The sequence below is a fragment of the Homo sapiens genome, chromosome 22 (assembly GCF_000001405.40).
Source record: "Homo sapiens chromosome 22, GRCh38.p14 Primary Assembly".
Classification (NCBI taxonomy): Eukaryota; Metazoa; Chordata; class Mammalia; order Primates; family Hominidae; genus Homo; species Homo sapiens.
Window position 1 is genome coordinate 26,577,056 of NC_000022.11, and position 22,220 is coordinate 26,599,275.

The 22,220-nt window shown below is 48.9% G+C and overlaps 2 protein-coding genes across 5 annotated transcripts in view, besides 12 other annotated features; one reads left to right on the top strand and one right to left on the bottom strand.

Annotated features, from left to right (window-relative positions):
- The window catches only part of TPST2 (tyrosylprotein sulfotransferase 2), a 68,137-nt gene extending 55,060 nt beyond the window's left edge, over positions 1–13,077 (bottom strand). For all 4 annotated transcript variants that reach the window (XR_007067981.1, NM_001362922.2, NM_003595.5 and 1 more), the window contains exon 1: positions 12,998–13,077. The gene's annotated coding sequence lies outside the window, so the exon portion shown is untranslated. The remainder of the gene's footprint in view (positions 1–12,997) is intronic.
- Positions 2,478–2,527: an enhancer, noted in NCBI's record as "active region_18793". NCBI's record gives its function as "activates an Ori minimal core promoter by ATAC-STARR-seq in GM12878 lymphoblastoid cells {active_cell/tissue: GM12878}" and the evidence as "EXISTENCE:reporter gene assay evidence [ECO:0000049][PMID:35858748]".
- Positions 2,668–2,747: a silencer, noted in NCBI's record as "silent region_13571". NCBI's record gives its function as "represses an Ori minimal core promoter by ATAC-STARR-seq in GM12878 lymphoblastoid cells {active_cell/tissue: GM12878}" and the evidence as "EXISTENCE:reporter gene assay evidence [ECO:0000049][PMID:35858748]".
- Positions 2,668–4,554: a biological region, named in NCBI's record as "OCT4-NANOG-H3K27ac-H3K4me1 hESC enhancers GRCh37_chr22:26975739-26976656 and GRCh37_chr22:26976657-26977573".
- Positions 2,719–3,636: an enhancer, noted in NCBI's record as "OCT4-NANOG-H3K27ac-H3K4me1 hESC enhancer chr22:26975739-26976656 (GRCh37/hg19 assembly coordinates)". NCBI's record gives its function as "activates a minimal SCP1, AML or CMV promoter by ChIP-STARR-seq in primed H9 embryonic stem cells {active_cell/tissue: H9 hESC(primed)}" and the evidence as "EXISTENCE:reporter gene assay evidence [ECO:0000049][PMID:30033119]".
- Positions 3,609–3,903: a silencer, noted in NCBI's record as "tiled region #8544; K562 Repressive non-DNase unmatched - State 17:Gen3'". NCBI's record gives its function as "represses a minimal TATA promoter and a strong SV40 promoter by Sharpr-MPRA in K562 cells {active_cell/tissue: K562}" and the evidence as "EXISTENCE:reporter gene assay evidence [ECO:0000049][PMID:27701403]".
- Positions 3,637–4,554: an enhancer, noted in NCBI's record as "OCT4-NANOG-H3K27ac-H3K4me1 hESC enhancer chr22:26976657-26977573 (GRCh37/hg19 assembly coordinates)". NCBI's record gives its function as "activates a minimal SCP1, AML or CMV promoter by ChIP-STARR-seq in naive H9 embryonic stem cells {active_cell/tissue: H9 hESC(naive)}" and the evidence as "EXISTENCE:reporter gene assay evidence [ECO:0000049][PMID:30033119]".
- Positions 12,275–12,775: an enhancer, noted in NCBI's record as "H3K27ac hESC enhancer chr22:26985294-26985794 (GRCh37/hg19 assembly coordinates)". NCBI's record gives its function as "activates a minimal SCP1, AML or CMV promoter by ChIP-STARR-seq in naive H9 embryonic stem cells {active_cell/tissue: H9 hESC(naive)}" and the evidence as "EXISTENCE:reporter gene assay evidence [ECO:0000049][PMID:30033119]".
- Positions 12,275–12,801: a biological region, named in NCBI's record as "H3K27ac hESC enhancer GRCh37_chr22:26985294-26985794".
- Positions 12,622–12,801: a silencer, noted in NCBI's record as "silent region_13572". NCBI's record gives its function as "represses an Ori minimal core promoter by ATAC-STARR-seq in GM12878 lymphoblastoid cells {active_cell/tissue: GM12878}" and the evidence as "EXISTENCE:reporter gene assay evidence [ECO:0000049][PMID:35858748]".
- Positions 12,812–13,181: a silencer, noted in NCBI's record as "silent region_13573". NCBI's record gives its function as "represses an Ori minimal core promoter by ATAC-STARR-seq in GM12878 lymphoblastoid cells {active_cell/tissue: GM12878}" and the evidence as "EXISTENCE:reporter gene assay evidence [ECO:0000049][PMID:35858748]".
- Positions 13,165–22,220, top strand: part of CRYBA4 (crystallin beta A4) — a 40,450-nt gene continuing 31,394 nt past the window's right edge. Inside the window, exons 1-2 of the mRNA XM_006724140.4 lie at positions 13,165–13,308; positions 19,939–20,028. The gene's annotated coding sequence lies outside the window, so the exon portion shown is untranslated. The remainder of the gene's footprint in view (positions 13,309–19,938; positions 20,029–22,220) is intronic.
- Positions 13,292–13,431: an enhancer, noted in NCBI's record as "active region_18794". NCBI's record gives its function as "activates an Ori minimal core promoter by ATAC-STARR-seq in GM12878 lymphoblastoid cells {active_cell/tissue: GM12878}" and the evidence as "EXISTENCE:reporter gene assay evidence [ECO:0000049][PMID:35858748]".
- Positions 15,728–15,877: an enhancer, noted in NCBI's record as "active region_18795". NCBI's record gives its function as "activates an Ori minimal core promoter by ATAC-STARR-seq in GM12878 lymphoblastoid cells {active_cell/tissue: GM12878}" and the evidence as "EXISTENCE:reporter gene assay evidence [ECO:0000049][PMID:35858748]".

Sequence of the window (22,220 nt, forward strand, 5' to 3'; positions counted from 1 at the left end):
ACTGCACTCCAGCCTGGGCGACAGAACGAGACTCTGTTGCAAAAAAAAAAAAAAAAAAGAAAATTAAATTAGCCAAGCGTGGTGGTGCATACTTGTAGTCCCTGCTACTTGGGAGGGTGAGATCACTTGAGCCCAGGAATTCAAGGCTGCAGCAAGCTATGATCATGCCACCGCAATCCAGCCTGGGTGACAGGGCAAAACCCTGTCTTTAAAAAAAAAAAAAAAAAAAGTGAACATGCATATAGTGCTTACTGTGTGCCTGGGGGGTTTTCTACACACTTTACAAATATTTGCTCTTTTTTTTTTTGAGACAAGGTCTCGCTCTGTCGCCCAGGCTGAAGTGTAGTGGCACTATCTTGGCTCACTGTAACTTCCACCTCCCAGGTTCAAGCGATTCTCCTGCCTCATCCTCCCGAGTAGTAGCTGGGACTACAAGTGTGTGCCACCATGCCCAGCTAATTTTTTGTATTTTTTTAGTAGAGATGGGGTTTCACCGTGTTAGCCAGGATGGTCTCGAACTCCTGACCTTGTAATCTGCCCGCCTTGGCCTCCCAAAGTGCTGGGATTACAGGTGTGAGCCACTGCACCCGGCCATTTTTTTTTTTTTTTTTTTTTTTGAGACAGAGTCTCACTCTGTCTGCCACCCAGGCTGGAATGCAGTGGCACAAGCTCGGCTCACTGCAACCTCCATCTCCCAGGTTCAAGTGATTCTCCTGCCTCAGCCTCCTGAGTAGCTGGGATTACAGGCTTGAGCCACCATGCCTGGCTAATTTTTGTATTTTTAGTAGAAATGGGGTTTCACCATGTTGGCCAGGCTGGTCTCAAACTCCTGACCTCAGGAGGAGGTCTAGACCTCCTAAAGTGCTAGGATTACAGGCATTAGCCACCATGCCTGGCCGAGTTTCATTTCTTAGATCTCACCCACAGGAGAGAAAACATTATCATGTAGCTGGAGGAAGGAATATCAGTAATGTTCATGAGTAAACATCAAAATGTATTATTATCTTTAAGAATTACCAAAAGGAATTTCAATTAAAATCAATTATATAGGCTGGTCTTGAACTCCTGACCTCAGGTGATCCGCGCATCTCCGCCTCCCAATCGCTCATTTAATCCTCACAACTAATCTATGAGGACAGTGCTCTGTCATTCCATTTTACAGCTGAGGAAGCCAAGGCACAGAAAGGTGAAGTCGTTGCCTGAGATCTCACAGCAGGTTTTAGCGCCCGTGTGCTTCGTCTGCTGCACCTCTACTACCCCAGCTCTCAACGTGGGTTCTCTGACCAGCAGGAACAGCGCTTAGGAACCTACACAAAATGCAGATTATCAGGGCTCAAGGAGACCACGCTGAATGGGAACTCTGGAAGTGGGGTACAGCAACCTGTGTTGAAGAAGCCCTCCATCCACGGTGAGGTCAGCAACCTCCGACCCTGCAAACCTGACCACGCTCTGCGATCCTCAGGACTGTGCCATGGGGACTATGCCTGGGGACCCCAAGGTCCTCAGAGAAGGAAGATTTTGCCCAGAGTCCCGCAGTAGGTAGAGGAGAGCAAACCAGGCCTCGAACCAGAATCTCCCATCTCTCAGAAGTCGGTGTCTACACAACAACCGCTGAGGGATGTCAAAGCAGCCACCAGCTCAACACAGGGGTGCACTGTTCCCAGTTTCTGAGGCATGGAAGACCCAGACCCCATTATTTCCAAGCTATTTGCATGATCCAGAACAAGTTACCTCAACTCTCTGGGCCTCAGTTTCCCCATCTGTGAAAAGAAAAAGCTGGACCCTATTTCTTTCTTTCTTTTTTTTTTTTTTTTGAGACGGGGTCTCACTCTGTCACCCAGGCTAGAGTGCAGTGGCGTGATCTTGGCTCACTGCAGCCTTGACCTCCCAGGCTCAAGCAATCCTCCCACCTCAGCCTCCAAAGTAGCTGGGAATAAAGCATGCACCACCATGCCCGGCTGATTTTTGTACTTTTTTGTAGAGACAGGGTTTCGCCATGTTGCTCAGGCTGGTCTTGAACCCCTGAGCTCACGCAAGTGATCCGCCCGCATTGGCCTCCCAGAGTGCTGGGATTATGGGTGTGAGCCACTGTGCCCAGCCTGGAGGCAAGACTCAGTTTCTAACCTTGTTTTTCTTCCCAAAACTCTTAGCCATCAAATATGCACTGCTGGTCTACTGTGCACTTGAGCAAGGAATGACCACGTAGCAGAATGAAGGGCAAAGGCACCTACTGCATGCAGCTTCCAGCAGTGCTCAGAGGAAGGGTAGCCGACACTCCCCCAGTACCCCAAACCAAATCAAACCAAAAACAGCATCTGCCGTCCTGCTGCTAGCCCAGGCTTCCTCTTCTTCCCCACAGCCCTGGGGCCCGGTGGGGAAGGGAGGGCCCTGGGGGCGTGGAAAGGGTGTGGGTTGAGAGGAAACCATGGCCTTGTAGGGCGGCCTTGCCAGGTGCCTGACTCCACAGGGCCTCTGTCTTCCACCTGGGAAGTAGCTACTACCACTTTCTCACACCTCCAAAGGTTTCTGGCTGAGCCCCCGGGCTCTGCAAGGGTCCGGATGGTTCTGTGGCAGGATGTCAGCCACCAGCCAAAGCAAGTGGGATGAAAAGTTTTTAATGAGAGAAAGGAAGGGCCGTGCTGGCACCTGTGTGGGCTTGGGGTCGGCAGCGGGAAGGAAGGGGGAAGTGGTGCAGATTGGGGCGGAAGAAGACAGAGAGAGAAAAAAACAGACAGAGGCAGAGACAGAGGGAGATAGAGACAGAGGATGTAGATGGGGAGAGAGAGTCAGAGGAGAGGCAAAGATGGGAGTAAGACAGAAAGAGTGACAGAGACAGGGAAAGACGTGAGTTGGGGGGATGGGTGGGAGGGAGAGAGAGGCAGGGAGACAAAAATAGAAACCAAGACAAGTTGGGTACAGAGGCTTACGTCTGTAATCCCAGTACTTTGGGAGGCTGAGGCAGGTGGATTGCTTGAGCCCAGGAGTTCAAGACCAGCCTGAACAACATAGTGAGACCCCATTTCTACAAAAAATAAAAAATGAACCAGGTGTGGTGGTCTGTACCTGTAGTCCCAGCTACTCGAGAGGCTGAGGCAGGAGAATTGCTTGAGCCCAGGAGTTCAAGGCTGCAATGCTGCCCCTGCACTCCAGCTTGGGCAACAGAGCAAGACCATCTCAAAAAAAGAAAGAAAGAAAAGAAGAATAAGAAAATCACCAGACAGAGAAGGAGAGAGATGAGCACTAGCAGCAGCCTGGAACAGGAACCTCAGCTCCTACACCATCAACGGGCACCTACATCCCTGCACCCACATCTTAGCTACACAGCCATCCCGCCCTTCAGTCAAGGCCCCTGGGTATCCAGGGAAGAAGGGGAATGTTGAGAGAGAGGTGACTACTGGCCCAGCCCCCTCCAGCCCTCTCACCTGTTGTGGGGCTCTCCAAATTCCAAGCTTCTGAACACTACCTTCCCAATGTTAATTACATCCAGAACCCCCTTTAATCGTATTCATTTTTGTTCAATGGATCCAATATTTTTAAAACATATTTTCAAGGGAAACTATAATCCACTGGATTAAATTTAAAACATGCCCTAATTAAAAAATTAATGCAAAAATAAAATCGAAGGAAGCAATGTTTTTTTATGCCTTCTGGCTAGAGACGGCCGCCAGCCTAAGGAAGGATCCCCAAAGGAGCCGGTTGTGTCCGATCTTTGTTAAACAAGAGGAGTCTGGGGAGAAGCACTAAAGACGCGTTAGCACCTAATGGAGGCTTTCTCCGGAAAGTCATCAGAGGGTGGGGAGGAAGACTTTCGCTCTGTGATTTAGCACTTCATACTAGGCAACAGCAGCCTCCAGGGCAAAATTCAAGTCCTTTGGCATCGCACTGAGGCTCTGTTGTGACTTAACTCCTGCTGACCTCCAATTTTATTATAACACCACCGATTCCCCCAACCCTCAACATACATACACACACACACACACACACACACACACACACACGCACACACACACACACTATAGTCTTTGTGCCCTGAACTCTACCAAACATACCAGGCCACAGAGTCTCACACCTCCAAACTTTTGCACTTGTGATTCTCTCTCCTTGGAAAACCTTTCCTGACCTCCTCTACAAAGCTAACTCCTACTGGCATCATTTGCACCCCTTCCTCCAGGAAGTCTTCCCTGACTGCCTCCTGTCCCTGTACCAGTATCCCCCAAGGTGCTTAGCATCCTGTGTGGCTTCTGGTGTTGCTTCCCTGCCAACCCCATGGAATGTGCAGGGCTGGGACCCCATCCTAGTCCCCACATCCTCTCAGAACCCAGCATGGTCCCCAAACTTCCAGCACAGGGTGCACAGGTATTTGTTGAGTAAACAGAAGGATGGATTGAGAAAGAAATGAAGGCACCAGAACACTCTGGGACAGAAGGAAATCTAAACTAAACCCTCTCTGTGCTCTGGGAAAAAGTTCTAGGCAGAAGCTCCTGTCCAATAAGAATCAGTCAACTTGACTCAAATTGGCCTCACCTACTCATTGGTCCACAAACTCTGGGCCAATGGCCCAGCCTCTATTCAGTTTTCTCGCCTGTAAAGTGGAGACAGTAGTATTGCCTATGATAGAATTGAGCTAAGAAAAATAAACGTAAAGAGCTAAGTACCCAGAAAGCACCCAAGTCTTAACTGCAATCATTACTATTTTTATCAGCATCTAACACTCACCAAATCAAAGTTTTATAACTTGTAGGGACTCAAAAGATGATTAGAAAAGCAACTGGCAGACTTTCTCTTCAAAGGCCAGCAATGTGGGCTCTCTGGTCTCTATCACAACTACTCCACTCTGCTTTTGTTACACAACAGCAGCCACAGACAAAATGTCAATAAATAAGCATAGCTGTGTTCCGATAAAACTTTATTTACAAATACAGGTAGCGGGCCGGATGTGGCCTATGAGTGGTAATCTGCCAATTTCTGATCCAGACCCTCACTATTCCAAATGTGGTCTTTAGACAAACACCATCAGAGGCCCCTGGAAACTGGTTAGAAACACAGTCTTAGTCTCTGCCCCAAACCTGCTAATCAGAATGTGCACTTTAGCCGGGCGCTGTGGCTCACGCCTGTAATCCCAGCATTTTGGGAGGTGGAGGCAGGCAGATCACTTGAGGTCAGGAGTTTGAGACCAGGCTGGCCAACACAGTGAAATCCCGTCTCCACTAAAAATACAAAAATTAGCCGGGCATGGTGGCAGGTGTCTGTAATCCCAGCTACTTGGGAGGCTGGGGCAGGAGAATCGCTTGAACCCGGGAGGCAGAGGTTGCAGTGAGCCGAGGTTGTACCATTGCACTCCAGCCTGGGCAACAAGATCGAAACTCCATCTAAACAGAAACAAAAACAAAAACAACCAAAAACACAGAATCTGCACTTTAACAAGTTCCCCAAGGGGATCATATGCATGTTAAGATCTGAGAGGCCTGGGTACTCAACTTCATAGGCTGACATCTCACGTCAGAGATGTGGGTTACTTTTTCTTGCCTGATGCCTCCACCAGAACGTAAACTCCAGGACAACTAGGACCTCGTTGCTTCTTAAATCTTGCACCCCAACATCCAGTTGAGGGTTCTCATGTGTCCTTATTCTAGTGGAAGACGTCACTCAGTGGCTATCCGTGCAGTGCTGGGATCAAGGCATGACTTCCACTGACAGCCTCTGAAGTTGGGCAGATGGGCTTTGAGTCCTGGTGCTGAATCTCAGGCCTGTGTGACCTCGGGAAAGTGACTATTTCCAAGCCTTGGCTTCTGGGAAATGGCGTGGTCAATAACAAATATCTCACTGTGGGGAACAACAGTTAGGTAGGGGCCTGTACCAGGTAAGGTGGCACGGCACCCTAGCGCCCAGAGACAGGAACTCCCCACACAGGGAGTATGCAATGGGGACAACCTCCAGTCCCAGCACTCTGGGAGGCTGAGGTGGGAGGATCGCTTGAGCCTGGGAGGCAGAGGTTGCAGTGAGCCGAGATCACACCACTGCACTCTAGCTTGGGCAACAGAGCGAGACTCCATCTCAAAAAGGAAAAAAAAAAAAAAAAAGAACAAAACAAATAAAAGGCCAGGCACAGTGGCTCACACCTGTAATCCCAGTACTTTGGGAGGCTGACACGGGCAGATCACTTGAGGTGAGGAGTTCAAGACCAGCCTGGCCAACAGGGTGAAACCCCGTCTCTACCAAAAAAATACAAAAATTAGCTGGGCATGGTAGTAGGCACCTGTAATCCCAGCTACTCAGGAGGCTGAGGCAGGAGAATCACTTGAACCGAGGAGGCAGGGGTTGCAGTGAGCCAAGATCATACCACTGCACTCCAGCCTGGGCGACAGAAGGAAACTCCATCTCAAAAAAAAAAAAAAAAAAAATGCCTTGAGGGCTTAAAATGGCAGACAGGGTATCAGGAGGCCTCAGACAACCTCCAATATCCTAGAAACACAGAGCTGGAAGGGCTCTTGGAGCGTGTCAAAAAAAAAAAAAAATTGTGCCATGCGCGATGGCTCACACCTGTAATCCCAGCACTTTGGGAGGCCAAGGCAGGCGGAGTTCGAGACCAGCCTGGCCAATATGGTGAAACCCTGTCTCTACTAAAAATACAAAAATTAGCTGGGCGTGGTGGCATGCGACTGTAATCCCAGCTACTTGGGAGGCTGAGGCAGAAGAATAGCTTGAACCCAGGAGACGGAGGTTGCAAGGAACCAAGATCATGCCATTGCACTCCAGCCTGGGCGACAAGAGCGAGACTTCGTCTCAAAAAAAAAAAATTGTTTTTAAAGCAATGGAACTGCTTATTCAGGTGGCACGAGGCAGGCCTAAGGCATCCTCAGATCCCCTGAAAAGCCGCACTTACGTGACAATGGGGAGTAGGGGGAACCACAGTGACTGGGAGAGTCCAGGCCACCTAAGGGGCAGCTTCAGGCCACTCCAGTTTGGCCTAAGCTCCTGGGTTTCCAAGAGAAATGAGAAATCAGAATTTTTCTCTAGAAATGTTTGAATGTTGACTCAATTTTAAAAACACACACGTAGCATGGGAGCTCAACAAAAAACATGCAGCAGGGTGAACTCACCCATTTAACATGTACGGAAACTGGGGCTCAGAGAGGGGAAGCTCCTTGCCCAATGTCACACAGCAATTTGGAGGAAGAGTTGGGACTTGGCTGCTTCCAAGCTCTGCTGTGCATGAGAGTGTGGGAGTGGGAGGAACAGAGCGAGTAGGGAGGAGTGGGTGGGAATCTGGACTTTACAGGCCAAGAGCCCTGCATGTTCTGATCATCAGGGAAGGAGTGTGGACAGAGGGATGGAGAGCGGATCAATATTTATTCAGAATAGTTATAACAACACCTGATGTTTTCTGTGTGTTTTCTATGTGCTAGGCCTTAAGATGGGATATCAAGGAGGAGTAAGAATGAGAATTCAGAGTGTAGAGTCTGGGCTGGGTGTGGTGGCTCACGCCTGTAACCCCAGCACTTGAGAGGCCAAGGTGGGATGATCGCTTGAGCCCAGAAGTTCAAGGTTATAGTGAGCTATGATTGTGCCACAGCACTCCAGCCTAGGCAACAGAGCAAGACCCTGTCTCAAAACAAACAAACAAAAAAACCCAAAACAAAAAAAAAAGAAAGATTCTGGATCCAAATCCTATGTCTCCCACTTCCTAGCTGGGTGACCTTGTGCAAATTACTTCACCTCTCTGAGCCTCAGCCTGTTCACATCATATGGCTGTTGGGGGAATTAAATGAGTTAAACCACATACAGTGCCTAGAACAGTGTCTGGCACCCAGTAAGCCCTGTTGATATTGGCTGTATTTATAATTGTTGCCTTTTGACAGACGGAGGAACTAAGGTTCACAAACGAACATGTTCAAAATTCCAAAGAGCCTGTTTAACCCCAGGGCCTCAGCTTTTGCCTGGTACCAAGATAAGTGCTTTACCACCATTCCCTTCCATCCAGCACCCCTGGAAGATAGGTCCTACTTATACCTGCATTCAACAGATGAGAAAACCAAAGCATAGAGAAACAGCCAACAGCCCCAGAAAGATGTGGAGCACCTGGATTCTAATACAGGCCAGTGCCCCCTAGCTCCCTATCACACTGCCTGCTTTCTGGGCTGCCTGCCTGCTTTCTGGCTGCAGAAGCCCCAGTCAAAAGTCTTACTGATACAAAGTCACTCGGCAGACGGGCTGGCTGCCCGCCATCTGAGCACATAGGATAAGAAGTTTCTCCCTGGGCCATCAGCCCCAGACGTTCCCTAGGGCCTGTGGGCACTGCCTCTGAGGTCCTTCCCTGCAATTTCTGGGGGCTGGCCAAGATCTCAAGCAGCTCTGAATGAATCATTCCCACAAATCCTCCTCTGGCTGCAGTAAAGGGTGGGGGAGACCTGAGAAGTGACGGGAGGGGACAGTCATCCCAGATCTCTGGAGGGGCCCCAGACCGGGTACATGCAGGTCCTCAGAGGGCACGGGGACTTGCAAGCAATCGGAATAGGCAGCAAGTCGGGGAGCAGGAGCTGCTGCTACCCAGAGAAGCTTCCCTGGTGCCACGTGGGGCATCAAAGCCACACAAGCCACATGCATTTTTCCAAGAAAGTACATTCTGGTCACCAACCCCAGGCTGTGAAGCTACATCTGATCTGCCACTCTTACTACAAATACACCCACAAAGTCACATCAATAATACATTTCAGGCCAGGCGTGGTGGCTCACACCTGTAATCCTAGCACTTTGAGAGGCCGAGGCGGGCGGATCACAAGGTCAGGAGATCGAGACCATCCTGGCTAACACGGGGAAACCCTGTCTCCACTAAAAATACAAAAAAATTAGTCAGGCATATGCCTGTAGTTCCAGCTACTCGGGAGGCTGAGGCAGGAGAATGGCGTGAACCCGGGAGGTAGAGCTTGGAGTGAGCCGAGATCACGCCACTGCACTCCAGCCTGGACAACACAGCGAAACTCCGTCTCAAAAATAATAATAATAATAATCATAATAATACATTTCAACAGCCTAACCGATCCCAAGGCACCACCACATCTTAGTTCTGAATGGTCTATGCCCATTCCTCAGTAGGGTACACTGACACCCAGAGAGCGGCAGTTCCTTGCCTAGGGAGCCTTCCCACCCCGTCTCCATGTCCCTAGGCTGCTTTCTTTCTTTCTTTTTTTAATATTTAATTGATTTTTATGTACTGACCTAATACCCTACAATCTCGCCCTGTTGCCCAGGCTGGAGTGCAGTGGTGCAATCTCAGCTCTCTGCAACCTCTACTCAAGCGATCCTTCCACCTCAGCCTCCCGGCTATCTGGGAATACAGGCGCGCACCACCACGCCTGGCTAATTTTTGTATTTTTTGTAGAGATGGAGTTTCACTATGTTATTCAGGCTGGTCTCAAACTCCTAGGTTCAACCAATCCATCCACCTCAGCCTCCAAAAGTGCTGGGATTACAAGCATGAGCCATGCACCCGGCCTAGGCTGCTTTCTTAATGCACAGGAACTCAGGATTTTAAAAGGACAAGGAAAGGCAAGTATGCAAAAAAGAATAAAGTCACGAGGTGCCAGATACAGCGGCTGGGAGGCGTGGTCTTAACACCATTCCCAAACAGCAGCTGCCCAGATGAACCAAGTTGTCAGGAAACTGGAACACGCAGATAAGTGCTGGTCTAAGTTCCTGAACCAGCAGAGTACAGGTTCAAGCTGGGGTGAACTACCTACCTTCTCAAGGAACTCTTCCTCTGTGAAAACGCTGGGTTCTGACCTGAGTTCTTCCGGTGCAGCCTCTTGCTGAAGCAAAGAGTGTGAAGGAAGAAACACAGGGTCCTAGGGGTGGGGAAGGTGCTGAGAGGAGGGGGAAGATGTCTGTGTGTGCAGAATGTTCACAGATGAAGCGTCTGTAACTCAGGACTGCTCATCTCAGGCCTGGGGGGTGGCCCCTCTTGAAATAAGCAGCAACTCACATAGGACACTCCGGTGGCCACCCAGAGAAGTCACCTTCAGAGTAGCGTGGGGGGTTCCAGATAGGGTGTGGGCAGGACCAGACTTAATTTTGGGGTCAAGGGACAAGTCTTCCCCTTCAGTTATGGTCTAGGAGAGCCATGGAGGGTCTCCCTGGCCTCCACAAAGCCTCAGCTGGCAAGGGGGCTCCAGGCTGGCCCGGGATGGGAAGATCCGAGCAGCTTCCACCTTCCTTTCACCCCCTCCTAATACTGTGTGCCAGCTCCTGGGGTGGGCTCTGTAAGCCACTGGGTCCTACACTGCCTCTCCTTGCTTCGGTATTTTCACAGAGTCTTGCTCTGTCACTTAGACCGGAGTGCAGTGGTGTGATTGATCTTGGCTTACTGCAACCTCTGCCTCCTGGGTTCAAGCGATTCCCCTGCCTCAGCCTCCCAAGTAGCTGGGGTTACAGGCACGCACCACCACACCTGGCTAATTTTTGTATTTTTAGTAGAGACGGGGTTTCACCATATTGGATAGGCTGGTCTCGAACTCCTGACCTCAGGTGACCTGCCCACCTTAGCTCCCAAAGTGCTGGGATTACAGGTGTGAGCCTCCGTGCCCGGCCTGAAAATAGTTTACAACTAACACATCAAAGCCAGTGATTTCAAGGGTTATGACTGCTTCAGAGAACACTAAATGTATTTAAGATTATTGGAACCCTCATACACTGGTGGTAGGAATATAAAATGGTACAGCTGTTCTGGAAAAATAGTCTGGCAGGTCCTCAACAGGTTAAACCTGGGTGCAGTGGCTCACACCTATAATCCCAGCACTTTGGGAGCCTGAGGTAGGAGGATCGCTTGAGACCAGGAGTTCAAGACCAGCCTGGGCAACATAGTGGGACCCCTATCTCTACAAAATAAATAAATAATAAAATAAATTAAAAAAATATTTAAAGGTGAAACCTAAAGTTACCTTACGACCCAATCATTCCACTCCTAGAAATATACCTGAGAGAACTGAAAATGTATGTCCAAAGACCTGTACATGAATGTTCATAGCAGTATTATTCATAATAGTCAAAAGTTAGAAACAACCCAAACATCCATCAGCTGACAAATGGATAGAATGTGGTATATCCACATAATAGAATATTATGCAGCCATAAAAAGGAACGAAGTACTTAAAAAAAAAAAAAGGAATGAAGTACTGATACAGGCTGCAAGGGGCTGAACCTTAGAAACATTCTCTGAAGTGAAAAGCATCAGATACCAAAGGCCACATAGTATATGACTGCATTTATATGAAATGTCCAGCACAGGCAAATTCATAGAGAATTTGAGAGTCAGTAAGTGGTTGCCAAGGGATAGGGGAAGAAAGGATTGGGGAGTGACCATGAAACAGCCTTTCTTTTGGGCATGATAAAAATGTTCTAAAATTAGACAGTGGTGATGACTATGCAACTCTGAACATCCTAAAAATTACGGAAACATATACTTTAAAAGGGTGAATTGTACGGCATGTGAACTGTATCTCAACAAAGCTGTTATAAAAAAAGTTTGCATGAGATTTTTAAAAATCAGGTGATACAAAGATGTATATTAAGTAAACAACAGTACAATTGGGGTTCAGTGGGGTGGGGGGATTCAGAAATGACCCAACAGTTCCTTTAGGACAATGAAATAAACCCAGCTTTACAGTTATGGAAACTGAGACTAGATCGGAAGGAAAATGCGTCGCCCGGGCCACATCACTACTAAATCCGGTGTGTCACAGATCTGTTCAAATCCAGAAGCCTACCCTCGCCAGCAGACCACCCTGCTGAGATGAAAGGGTTATCACATGGAGGCTAGGGAGAGGTGTCCACCCACAGCCCAGTCTGGCAGACAGACATGCAAGGGAATGTCTGTTGGGAAGTGAGAAAAAGGGCTGGCTAACTCTGTGGGGTTCAAAACAGGAAGCACCCAACAATACCAGGAGAATGCCAGGGAAGGCTTCCCGGAGGAGGTGCTGCTTGAGGGGGCTTCTGTAGGATAAGTAGGAGTTCAACAGCCCGCCTCCTCAACATCCCCAAGGACATTAAGTCAGGAGGCCTGTGAGTGAGTTTCAGCTCTGCCACATCCTAGCTGTGAATCCTAGGGTCACGGGCAGGTGACCTCTCCAAGCCTCAGTCTCCCCATCTGTAAAAGGGGAAGGGGGCAAGAGGTTAGGCACGGTTCTTTCTAATGACTCTGCTGAGGTGGATGGTTCCTTCCCTAGGGAACGGGCCTTTGAGTGGGAATGCCAGACCTCGACCTCTGTCCCATCTAACAACGACTCTGCCAGGTCAGGCGTGCTCAGCCTCTGAGCCCATGCTCCCAGTCCCCTGCTACCAGTCCCAGTCCCGGCTTTCCGGGCACCTCCCATCCAGCTCACACCGAGAAGCGGAGTTTACGGAGGGAGGTTGGGGGTTGGGGTGGGATCCTCGGGTCAAATTCCTCTCCACTCCTCACCAGTGACCTCCAAGTTCACTAGGGCTCCCCAACCCAGTGCTCCCAGCGCCCACCTCCCCAGCCGACGATTTCCGCCCCCAACGCCTCCACTTCTGACGCTCCTCGCAACTCCACGGCTGCTGCAAGTTAACTTCCACGCGCCCTGGCGCCCGCCTGGGGGTCCCCGCGCGCCTGGGCGAGGTTGGGGACTCCGGAGGCGGGGACGCGCCGCCCTCCCCCCCAGTCCCCCCGCCAACAGACGCTGAGCGTCTCCCAGGCGCTGGGTCCGAAGCGGGAAGCGTGGTAACGGGGGCCCGGTGGATGCCGCACCCCGCGGAAAGCGCTCGGGACGCCGAGCGGGTGCGGATCCCAGAACCGCGCGCCCGCGCCGCCTGCCTGCCTCCCAGATCCCAGCTCCCAGCCCCGGAGCCCGAGCAGTCGCGCCGGGCCCGGAGGCAGCCGCCAGGACGGAGGGCTGCCAGGCGCCCGAGGCCGACCCGCACGGCCCCCAGCCCGCGCCCCCGGTTGCAACCCGAGGCCACCCCCTGCCGCCCCAGGGCCACCTACCGTGGCGAGACGCGGCGAGGCAGCCCCACGCACCCAGCGACTCCCGGCTCTCCAGCCGCCCCAGCCGGGGAAGGGGGAGGTGCCCGCGCGGGGGCGGGGCCGCGGCGACGTGACGTACGGGGGCGGGCCCGATACGCGGCCCCGCCCCGCCCCGCCCCATCCCCTCCACTGCGCCTCGGGACCGCGAGGTGAGCAGAGGCTGGTCGGGAAGTTTCCCGGAGGCTCGCCCCGGGAACCCCGCCCCGCCGCCCTGGAAGCCCCTGTCTGCTCGCTGGCTTACCCCTAGGACGGGCAGCTCACCACTTCTCCCGGTCAGTTCTGTTTAAGAGAAGTTCCTTTCTGCCTGTAAGCAATGAAGTGGAATGATCACCAAAAAGTGGTGTAAGAAAAGAAAAGTAGACCCGCAGCGGGGTGTATTCGTGCTACTGTTTGTGTAAAACACAGAAAAAAGAAAGGGGTGGTCTGATGTATAGTCATACACACCAGTGGTTTTGGAGGGAGTTTTTGTGGATATACCACATTCTCTCCATTTATCAGGGATTTTGCCCTGACATCCCTCCACCACCACGACATTTGGCAATCTCTGAAGACATTTTTGGTTGTCATAACTGGGGAAGTGGAGAGGCGATACTGGCATCTAGTGAGTAGAGGCCTGGAATGCTGCTAAACATTCTGCGGTGCATAGGACACCCTTTCCACCCCCAGCCCTGCCACTACCCCCCCAAAAAAAACCCTGCAAAAAATGCCGAATAGCGTAAAGGTTGTGAAGCCCTGATATACACAAATGAAACAAAACTCCTGACTGATAAATCTTAGCACAGTCTAAGTTCTATAACCTTTCAGTGCTTCTGCTTCTTCATGTGTAAAATTGGAAAAATAATAGAGCTATCTATGCATCGTATGCTTGTGCATTGAATACCTGAAGAAAAGGTAGGGTAGGCATGCAGGCTTACTTTTCATTGTGAACTTTGGTTCTTTGTTCTCTTTTAACTTTCTATTTGCCATATGTATATATTATCTGTTTAAAATAAATTTCTGGGTCAGGTGCATGGCTCACACCTGTGATTCTAGCACTTTGGGAGGCGAGGCGGGCGGATCACTTGAGGCTAGGAGTTCAAGACCAGCCTGGCCAAAATGGTGAAACCTCGTTTCTAATAAAAATACGAAAATGACTTTGGGAGGCCAAGGTGGGTGGATCACATGAGGTCAGGAGTTCGAGACCAGCCAGGCCAACATGGCGAAACCCTGTCTCTACTAAAAATACAAAAATTAGCCGGGTGTGGTGGTACATGCCTGTAGTCCCAGCTACTCAGGAGGCTGAGACAGGAGAATCGCTTGAACCTGGGAGGCAAGGGTTGCAGTGAGCTGAGATTGCACTGCACTCCAGCCTGGGCAACAAGTGAGACTCTGTCTCAAAAAAAAAAAAAAAAATGCAATCCCAGCACTTTGGGAGGCCGATGCGGGTGGATCACCAGGTCAGGAATCCAAGACCAGCCTGACCAATATGGTGAAACCCTGTTTCTACTAAAAATACAAAAATTAGCTGGGCATGGTGGTGCATGCCTGTAGTCCCAGCTACTCAGGAGGCTGAGGCAGAAGAATCGCTTGAACCCAGGAGGTGGAGGTTGCAGTGAGCCAAGATCGCACCACTGCACTCCCACCTGGGCGACAGAGTGAGACTCCGTCTCAAAAAAAAAAAAAAAAAATGAGCAGGGCATGGTGCTGCTCACCTGTAATTCCCCCTACTTGGGAGGCTGAGGCACGAGAATTGCTTGAACCCAGGAGGCAGAGGTTACAGTGAGTGTAGATCGCACCACTGCACTCCATCCTGGGTGAGTACACACACACACACACACACACACACACACACACACACAGAAACTAGGGCACACAGATATTAAGTAATTTGCCCATGGCCAGCCACATGTTCATTCATTGGTCATTCATTAATTCATTCATGTGTCCAATAAATAGTTAGTGCTTGCCTTATGGAAAATGCTGGGACTGATAAAGCTGCCTCCATGGAGCCAGCCATTACTGGTCTGGAAACAATACAACAACATTACATAGTGTTTATTGCGTGCATGTTAGAGACTTCATATGACTGATTTGATAGACACATAGATTAAACACCAGCAGGGTGTTTTATAATGTCCTTTTGTGGATGAAAAAAATGGAGTTCAGAGGAAGAGGTGTGAATGGGGGCATTTGTTTAATAACATTCTAGCAATGGCATTTCCTGAGCTCTCTATGCTAGGCACAGATTCAGCAGCTAACAGGGGGACAAAGGTCCAAGTTGGGGAAGCTAGATCCTTCAACAAGCCTTCACAGTAAAGTGAGCACCTGTAACTGATGAGGCAGGAGCAGCAGAGATTAACCTGGTCCAGGGAGGGAGGGCCAGGCGTGTGTATACATGCCAGAGGCATGGGTGGGGATCCTTGGAAGAGTGCACTGGTCACAGAATCTAGCAGGTGCAAAGGCCTAGCAGGAAGGAAGCGAGCCTGGGGCCTTGCATGAAGTGCAGAGTGGACAGGATGTGGTGGAGGTGAGAGAAGAGATCAGAGGTGTCTGCAGGGCTGGATGCTGCAGAGCTTTGTGGGCTGTGGGAAGGAGTCGGGGCTTTTCTCTTGCAGTGATGGAGAGACAGGGAAGGTGTTCAACAGGGGAAGGGCATGGGGAGCCTGACTTTCTGCAAAGATCCCTCTGGTGCTGTGTGAAGAAGAAACAGGCAGAAACTGGTTTGGAGGGTGTTGAAATAATTCAGGAACCCAGAGAGGGGATGTGGGCATGGAGGGGGTGTTTTGGTTCCGGAGAGGTTTGGAAGACAGAATTGGCAGATCTCAGTTGAGAGGCTAAGGAGGAGGATCAGAATGATCGTCTTGTTGTCTAGGTTGGGACTTCTCTCAGTACCCCTAGCTCAGTGAACCTTTCCAGGTCTCAATCTGTCTGTCACCTCCTTGAGGAAGGCTAATTGCCCCTCAGGACATCGTGGTGGACCAGACACCAGACTGTGCAGCCCAGGAATTTGATGTGACTTTGAAGGCAGACAAAATAATTCATTCCTCCTGTCTGCATCTTCAGCCGGGAACACCTAGAGCAGATACCTCTTCTGTCTTCCTCCCCAACCTATCTTCCCAGCATCTAGGCAAAACCCAGTACTTAAGAGGTTTTATCAAAAGCAGGAAGAATATTTATCAAAAGCAGGAAGAATAGATGTAGCATAATACACATTGATCCAAAAATTCTTTCCAGCTCTGACATTCAAGAGGATGAGGTTGATGTTATGTCAATAATTACACTTTAGGCCAGGCTCAATGGCTCACTCCTGTAATTCCAGCACTGTGGGAGGCTGAAGAGGGAGGATAGCTTGAACCCAGGAGATTGAGACCAGCCTGGGCAACATGGTGAGACCTTGTCTCTACTTTTTTTTTTTAATTAAAATTTTTTTAAAAACCATTTTATTTATTTTTATTTTATTTATTTATTTCTTTGAGACAGAGTCTCACTCTGTTGCCCAGGCTGGAGTACAGTGGTGTGATCTCGGCTCACTGCAACCTCCGCCTCCTGGGTCCAAGCAGTCCTCCTGCTTCAGCCTATTGAGTATCTGGGATTACAAGCATGCGCCAATATGCCTGGCTAATTTTTGTATTTGGAGTAGAGATGGGATTTCTTCATGTTGGCCAGGCTCGTCTCCAACTCCTGACCTCAAGTGATCCACCTGTCTTGGACTCCCAAAGTGCTGGGATTACAAGTGTGAGCCACCATGCCCAACCACAGAAAACACTTTATTCAGGTGCTTGCTATGTGCTAAACACCTTATAATTATTATATTCAAGCTGATCATTTACCCTCTCCAAGCTTTTGGTGTTTTATTATCATTACTCCCATTTTACAGATGTGGAAACAGAGGCTCCAGCAGGTAATTTGATTTGGCCAAGGATAATAGCTGGTAATTGTCAGAGCTGGAATGCAAACTCAGGTCTCTCTCACCCTTTCTAGTACACTGATAGAAGGCAGTGGCTCGGCAGTGGGCAGGAAGTAAAAGTAAGTGGGCAGGTTTTCTTCTCCTGCTGGAAGGGTGTAGTATTATTGTTCCTAGCTGGGGATCCAGGCTTCACAAAGCATTCGTTGATCCTAAGTATCTGACCCAGGCTATTGGCTGTCGTGGCAGTTTGGCTCTAAGAAGGCTCATCTCTTTAGAACCTCTGCAGGGCACCCTGGAACCATGTCTTTTCCCCAGAGCCCAGTTGCTGTGTATTTATCAGCATCTCATGCTGGCACAAAAGCATTCAATGCCTCTGGGTGATCCTCCTGCCTCCACCCCACATATACACACTGCCGGCGTTGGGCTTATGCTCCAATGTCTAAAAGATTACGGGTTGCCTCTTGTCGATGAGAATGAGAGCCGCTCTCTCATAATCAAGATGCTTTGCCTTTCCAAAGGCCTGAGACTCAAAGATTCACAAGCTGGGATCTATCTAGCTTTGAAACAATATGAAGTCCCCAGTTTCCTCAGGCATTGTATTTTAAAGCCAGTGCTTAGGGACACTCCTGCTTGAACCCGGGAGGTGGAGGTTGTGGTGGGCTGAGATTGCGCCACTGCACTCCAGCCTGGGCGATAGAGTGAGACTCTAGCTAAAACAAAAAACAAAAAACAAAAACCAAAACAAACAAACAAAAAGCCAGCATTTAGAGCCAAACCCATGCAGTCAAAATTGCCTTGGAGAAGCCCCCGAAAAGGCTGAAGGCAACATAGCCCCTTGGAAGTCCAGCTTCACTGGTTTCCGTCAATATTAAACTTGGACTCATCATGATTTCTGGGGTTGAGCACCTGATGAAATGAAACCTTAGTTTTAGTTTGAAGGCAAAAGTGTGGCTTATCTTTAAGCTCTGAAATTCTGCTCCAGGTGGTGAGATGCTCATGTTTTGAGAGATATGTTGAAACTAGGACCCATGGAAGGAACACCAGGTTTATGGTTCCTAAGTCACACTCACTCTCAGCCTTACTACATGTTATTTTCTTTAACTTGCTTCTTTTAGTCTCTATTCTTTATTTTTTGCTTATAATTTTATATGTCCTCCTTTGTTATTACAAGGCATTTTGTTTATTCATAAATTCATTAGCAAACAATACATTAAATATAAAATGACTTTAATTGTTATTTTCTTCTGGTGTTTATTCTGCCAAGTGTACATATCTTGTTTCAGTGATGCTAATATGCACATTTTAAAATGCCTGTGAGGCCAGGCGCAGTGGCTTACGCCTGTAATCCCAGCACTTTGGGAGGCCGAGGCAGGAGGATCAAGTAAGGTTGGGAGTTCGAGACCAGCCTGACCAACATGGAAAAACCCCCGTCTCTACTAAAAATACAAAAAATTAGCCAGGCATGGTGGCGCATGCCTATAATCCCAGCTACTCGGGAGGCTGAGGCAGGAAAATCGCTTGAACCTGGGAGGCGGAGGTTGCAGTGAGCCAAGATCGGGCCATTGCACTCCAGCCTGGACAACAAGAGCAAAACTCCGTCTCAAAAAAAAAAAAAAAAATGCCTGTGAGATGAAAGTGATCCAGAAGACCTGGACTCTGTGTTTTGTTTTTAATTTTTTGTAGAGATGGGGTCTCCCTGTGTTGCCCAGGCTGGTCTCAAACTCCTGGGCTCAAGTGATCCTCCCACCTCAGCCTCCCAAAGTGCTGGGATTGCAGGCGTGAGCCACCATGTATGGCCTTGTTTTTGTTTTTAGAGACAGGGTCTTGCTCTGTTCCCCAGACTGGAGTGCAGTGGCACATTCATAGCTTACTGCTGCCTGGAACTCCTGGGCTCAAGGGATCCTCCTGCCTCAGCCTCCACAGTAGCTGGGACTACAGGCATGCACCACTGCACCCAGCTTATTTTTTATTTTTTGTAGAGGTAAGGTCTCACCATCTTGCCCAGGCTGATCTCAAATTCCTGGGCTCAAGTGATCCTCCCACCTTAGCCTTCCAAAATACTGGGATTATAGGTATAAGCCACTGTGCCAGGCCAGAATCTGGACCATCAATGCAAAGAGTTTTTATTTTATTTTATTTTTGAGATGGAAGCTTGTTCTGTCGCCCAAGCTGACATGCAGTGGCACGATCTCACTGCAACCTCCACCTCCTGGGTTCAAGCTATTCTGCTGCCTCAGCCTCCAGAGCAGCTGGGATTACAGGTGTGCACCACCATGTCCGGCTAATTTTTTATATTTTTAATAGAGATGGGGCTTCACCATGTTGACCAGGCTGGTCTCAAACTCCTGACCTTAAGTGATCCACCTGCCTCAGACTCCCAAAGTGCTGGGATTACAGGCATGAACCACTGTGCCTGGCCGCAAAGAGGTTTTAGAACTGACTTAACTGATGAATTTCTAGTATGTTTACCTTTTATAGGACTTATCAGATTGATACACTGAAAAAAAATCTGTTAAATCTAAATAAGTTGAAAATAATTCTTTCAATAAGTATAAAAATTCTGAGTGATCAGAAAACAATTGTGTTATGTTTTGATTGGTATTATTTCTCTTTTTCCTCCTGGAATTATAAAATCATAGTGCATCTTACCAACAATAAGACCTTGAAGGTAAAGAACTATGGAAGTCAATTTCAGGGGGCTCATATGACTGTGAAGATGGACTCCACTGCAGTAGAATTTTAGAGCTTTACTCACAGACCTTAAGAACTTAGAATGGGGATCCATGTGGCTTGGCTTTGGAATCAGAGAATCACAGAAGCTTAGAGATAAATATCAGAACCTTAGAGAGTCATAGAACTTTGGAACCTCAGAATCTTGGGGCTGGATGGGTATTTGAGCTGTCGTTTTATAGAAGAGAAAAACAAGTCCCAGGGAATGGATGCAATTTGCCTAGTTCTTTCCAACTTCTAACAGTACAGCAGGGTTAATACCCTTTTATTCCCGATTTCTGTCCAGGAATCCTGGTCCGCAGACAGCCCTGTCTTCTAGTCCAAGATGCTGGCCAAGAGTGTTGAGGTGGGGAGAATGAAAGTGAGATGAGGGAAGGTGAGTGAGACCTGTCCAAGATTATGTGAGGTGGTGTCTCAACTTTGAAGCTCAGCAAAACCACAGGGTGGGGTGTCATGAGGCCCTATCTTTCTTGCCAGCTTTATCTCCTGACGTACAAGTGTATCCGTCCCACCCTGTGCTTCTGCCCACACAACCACCAAGCTAATGTTCCCACCTCAATAAGCTTCACCGGGGCCCACCACAACTCTCTCAACCTCTATGCCTTTGTTCATGGTGCTCCAGGGCTGCCAAGTTCAGCTGAGCATGTTGGGCACAGCACAAGGGTATCACATTTACATGGTAGACGTCCCAGATTTATACCAATAATTTCTAACAGATGGCAGTAAAATGTCTTGAGGAAGAGACATCTTTTTATCATTTGCACAAAGGTGCCATATGGGGTAGCGGGGACACTGCTGTTTGCTCTGCCTGGAATATCATCTCCCCTATTCTCCATCAAGCAAGCTCCTGCTCCATCTTTCAAGGCCCCCTTCAGATATTCCCTCCTCCAGGAAGATATCCATAGCAACCCCGACACCCCGTTCCACCAGGCTGTCTGCATAGATTAATGATTAATAACATCAATCAATATTAACTGTTGATATGGGAAACAATAGTGTCTGGCACAGATTTCCAAATGAGATGATTCCTGATGTACCCCAGCTCCAGGATTGAGTAACACTGAATCAGATACAAGAAAACGATGCTCTTTTCAACCTTTATTGATTAAATCAAGGAGGAAAAAAGTCTCAGTTTGGTGCAAACATCTTTCACACTTTTCTTTGTTTTGTTGGTTTTTTTTCTTCTTTTTTTTTGAGGTGGAGTCTCACTCTGTCACCCAGGCTGGAGTACAGTGGCGCAATCTTGGCTCACTGCAACCTCTGCCTCCCGGTTCAAGCGATTTTCCTGCCTCAGCCTCCCAAGTAGCTGGGATTACAGGCACCCGCCACCACAGCCGGCTAATTTTTTATATTTTTGTAGAGACGGGGTTTCACCATGTTGGCCAGGCTGGTCTCGAACTCCTGACCTCAAGTGATCTGCCTGCCTCGGCCTCCCGAAGTGCTGGGATTACAGGCGTGAGCCACCGCACCCGGTCCTCTTTCACACTTTTCAACACTGGCTAATCTCCCATTTTGTCGAAGAGTGAACAGGTTGCAGGCAGTGGTATCTGCTGGAAATTTGATACTTGGCCTTCTTTAAATTGTATTTGATTTATTTATACGACTGCCTGCTTCCTTCCTTCCTTTCTCTCTCTCTCCTTTCCTTCCTTCTCTCTTTCTCTTTCTCGCTCTCTCTCTCTTTCTTTCTTTGACAGGATCTCACTCTGTTGCCCAGGCTGGAGTCCAGTGGCATGATCACGACTCACTGTAGCCTCAAATTCCCAGGCTAAAGCCTCAAGTGATCCTGCCACCTCAGTCTCCCGAATAGCTGGGATTACAGGCGCACGCCACCATGCTGGGTTAACTTTTGGAATTTTTGTAGAGATGGGGTTTCGCGATGTTGGCCAGGCTGGTCTCCAACTCCTGACTTCAAGTGATCTACCCACCTCAGCCTCCCAAAGTGTTGGGATTACAGGGGTGAGCCACCACGCCCAGCCTGTGTGATTGCTTTCTATGTATATGATGCTGATTTTCCACTTCTTGGAGCATTATAAGGATTTATTTACAAATCAGTGCATTTAAGGACAAAAAATAAGTCTATTTAAATAAAAATATGTCAAAAGTAGACCAGGTGGCATGCAGACAGTGCAAAAAATCCTGAGGGGGGATGCTCAACTGGCTACAGTTTGAAAAAAATTTATAGATTTGTCTTGAAGAGTACAGGCTCTGGAGCCAGACAGCCTGAATTCAAGTCTTGACTTGCTAACTGTGTGACCTTGGGAAAATCACTTCCCCTCTCTGAACCTCAATTTCCTCATACCAACCTCCTGGAGCAGTCTTCATAATGAGTAAGGCCAAGTACTTGTCCTCCACCCCAACACATCCATTCAGGACCCAGAAACCAACCTGCCTCCTCTGACCTGCTGCACGAATGCCCTGGCTGGACCATCTCTTACCTAGTATCCTTGGACAGCATCTCACAGGTGTATCTGGGTTTCCCCTGCTAGGTGGAGCAAACTCCTTGACGGCAGGAACTTGGCCTTATTCATTTCTGCCTACACATTTGGTAGACTCACATAACAGGCAGAA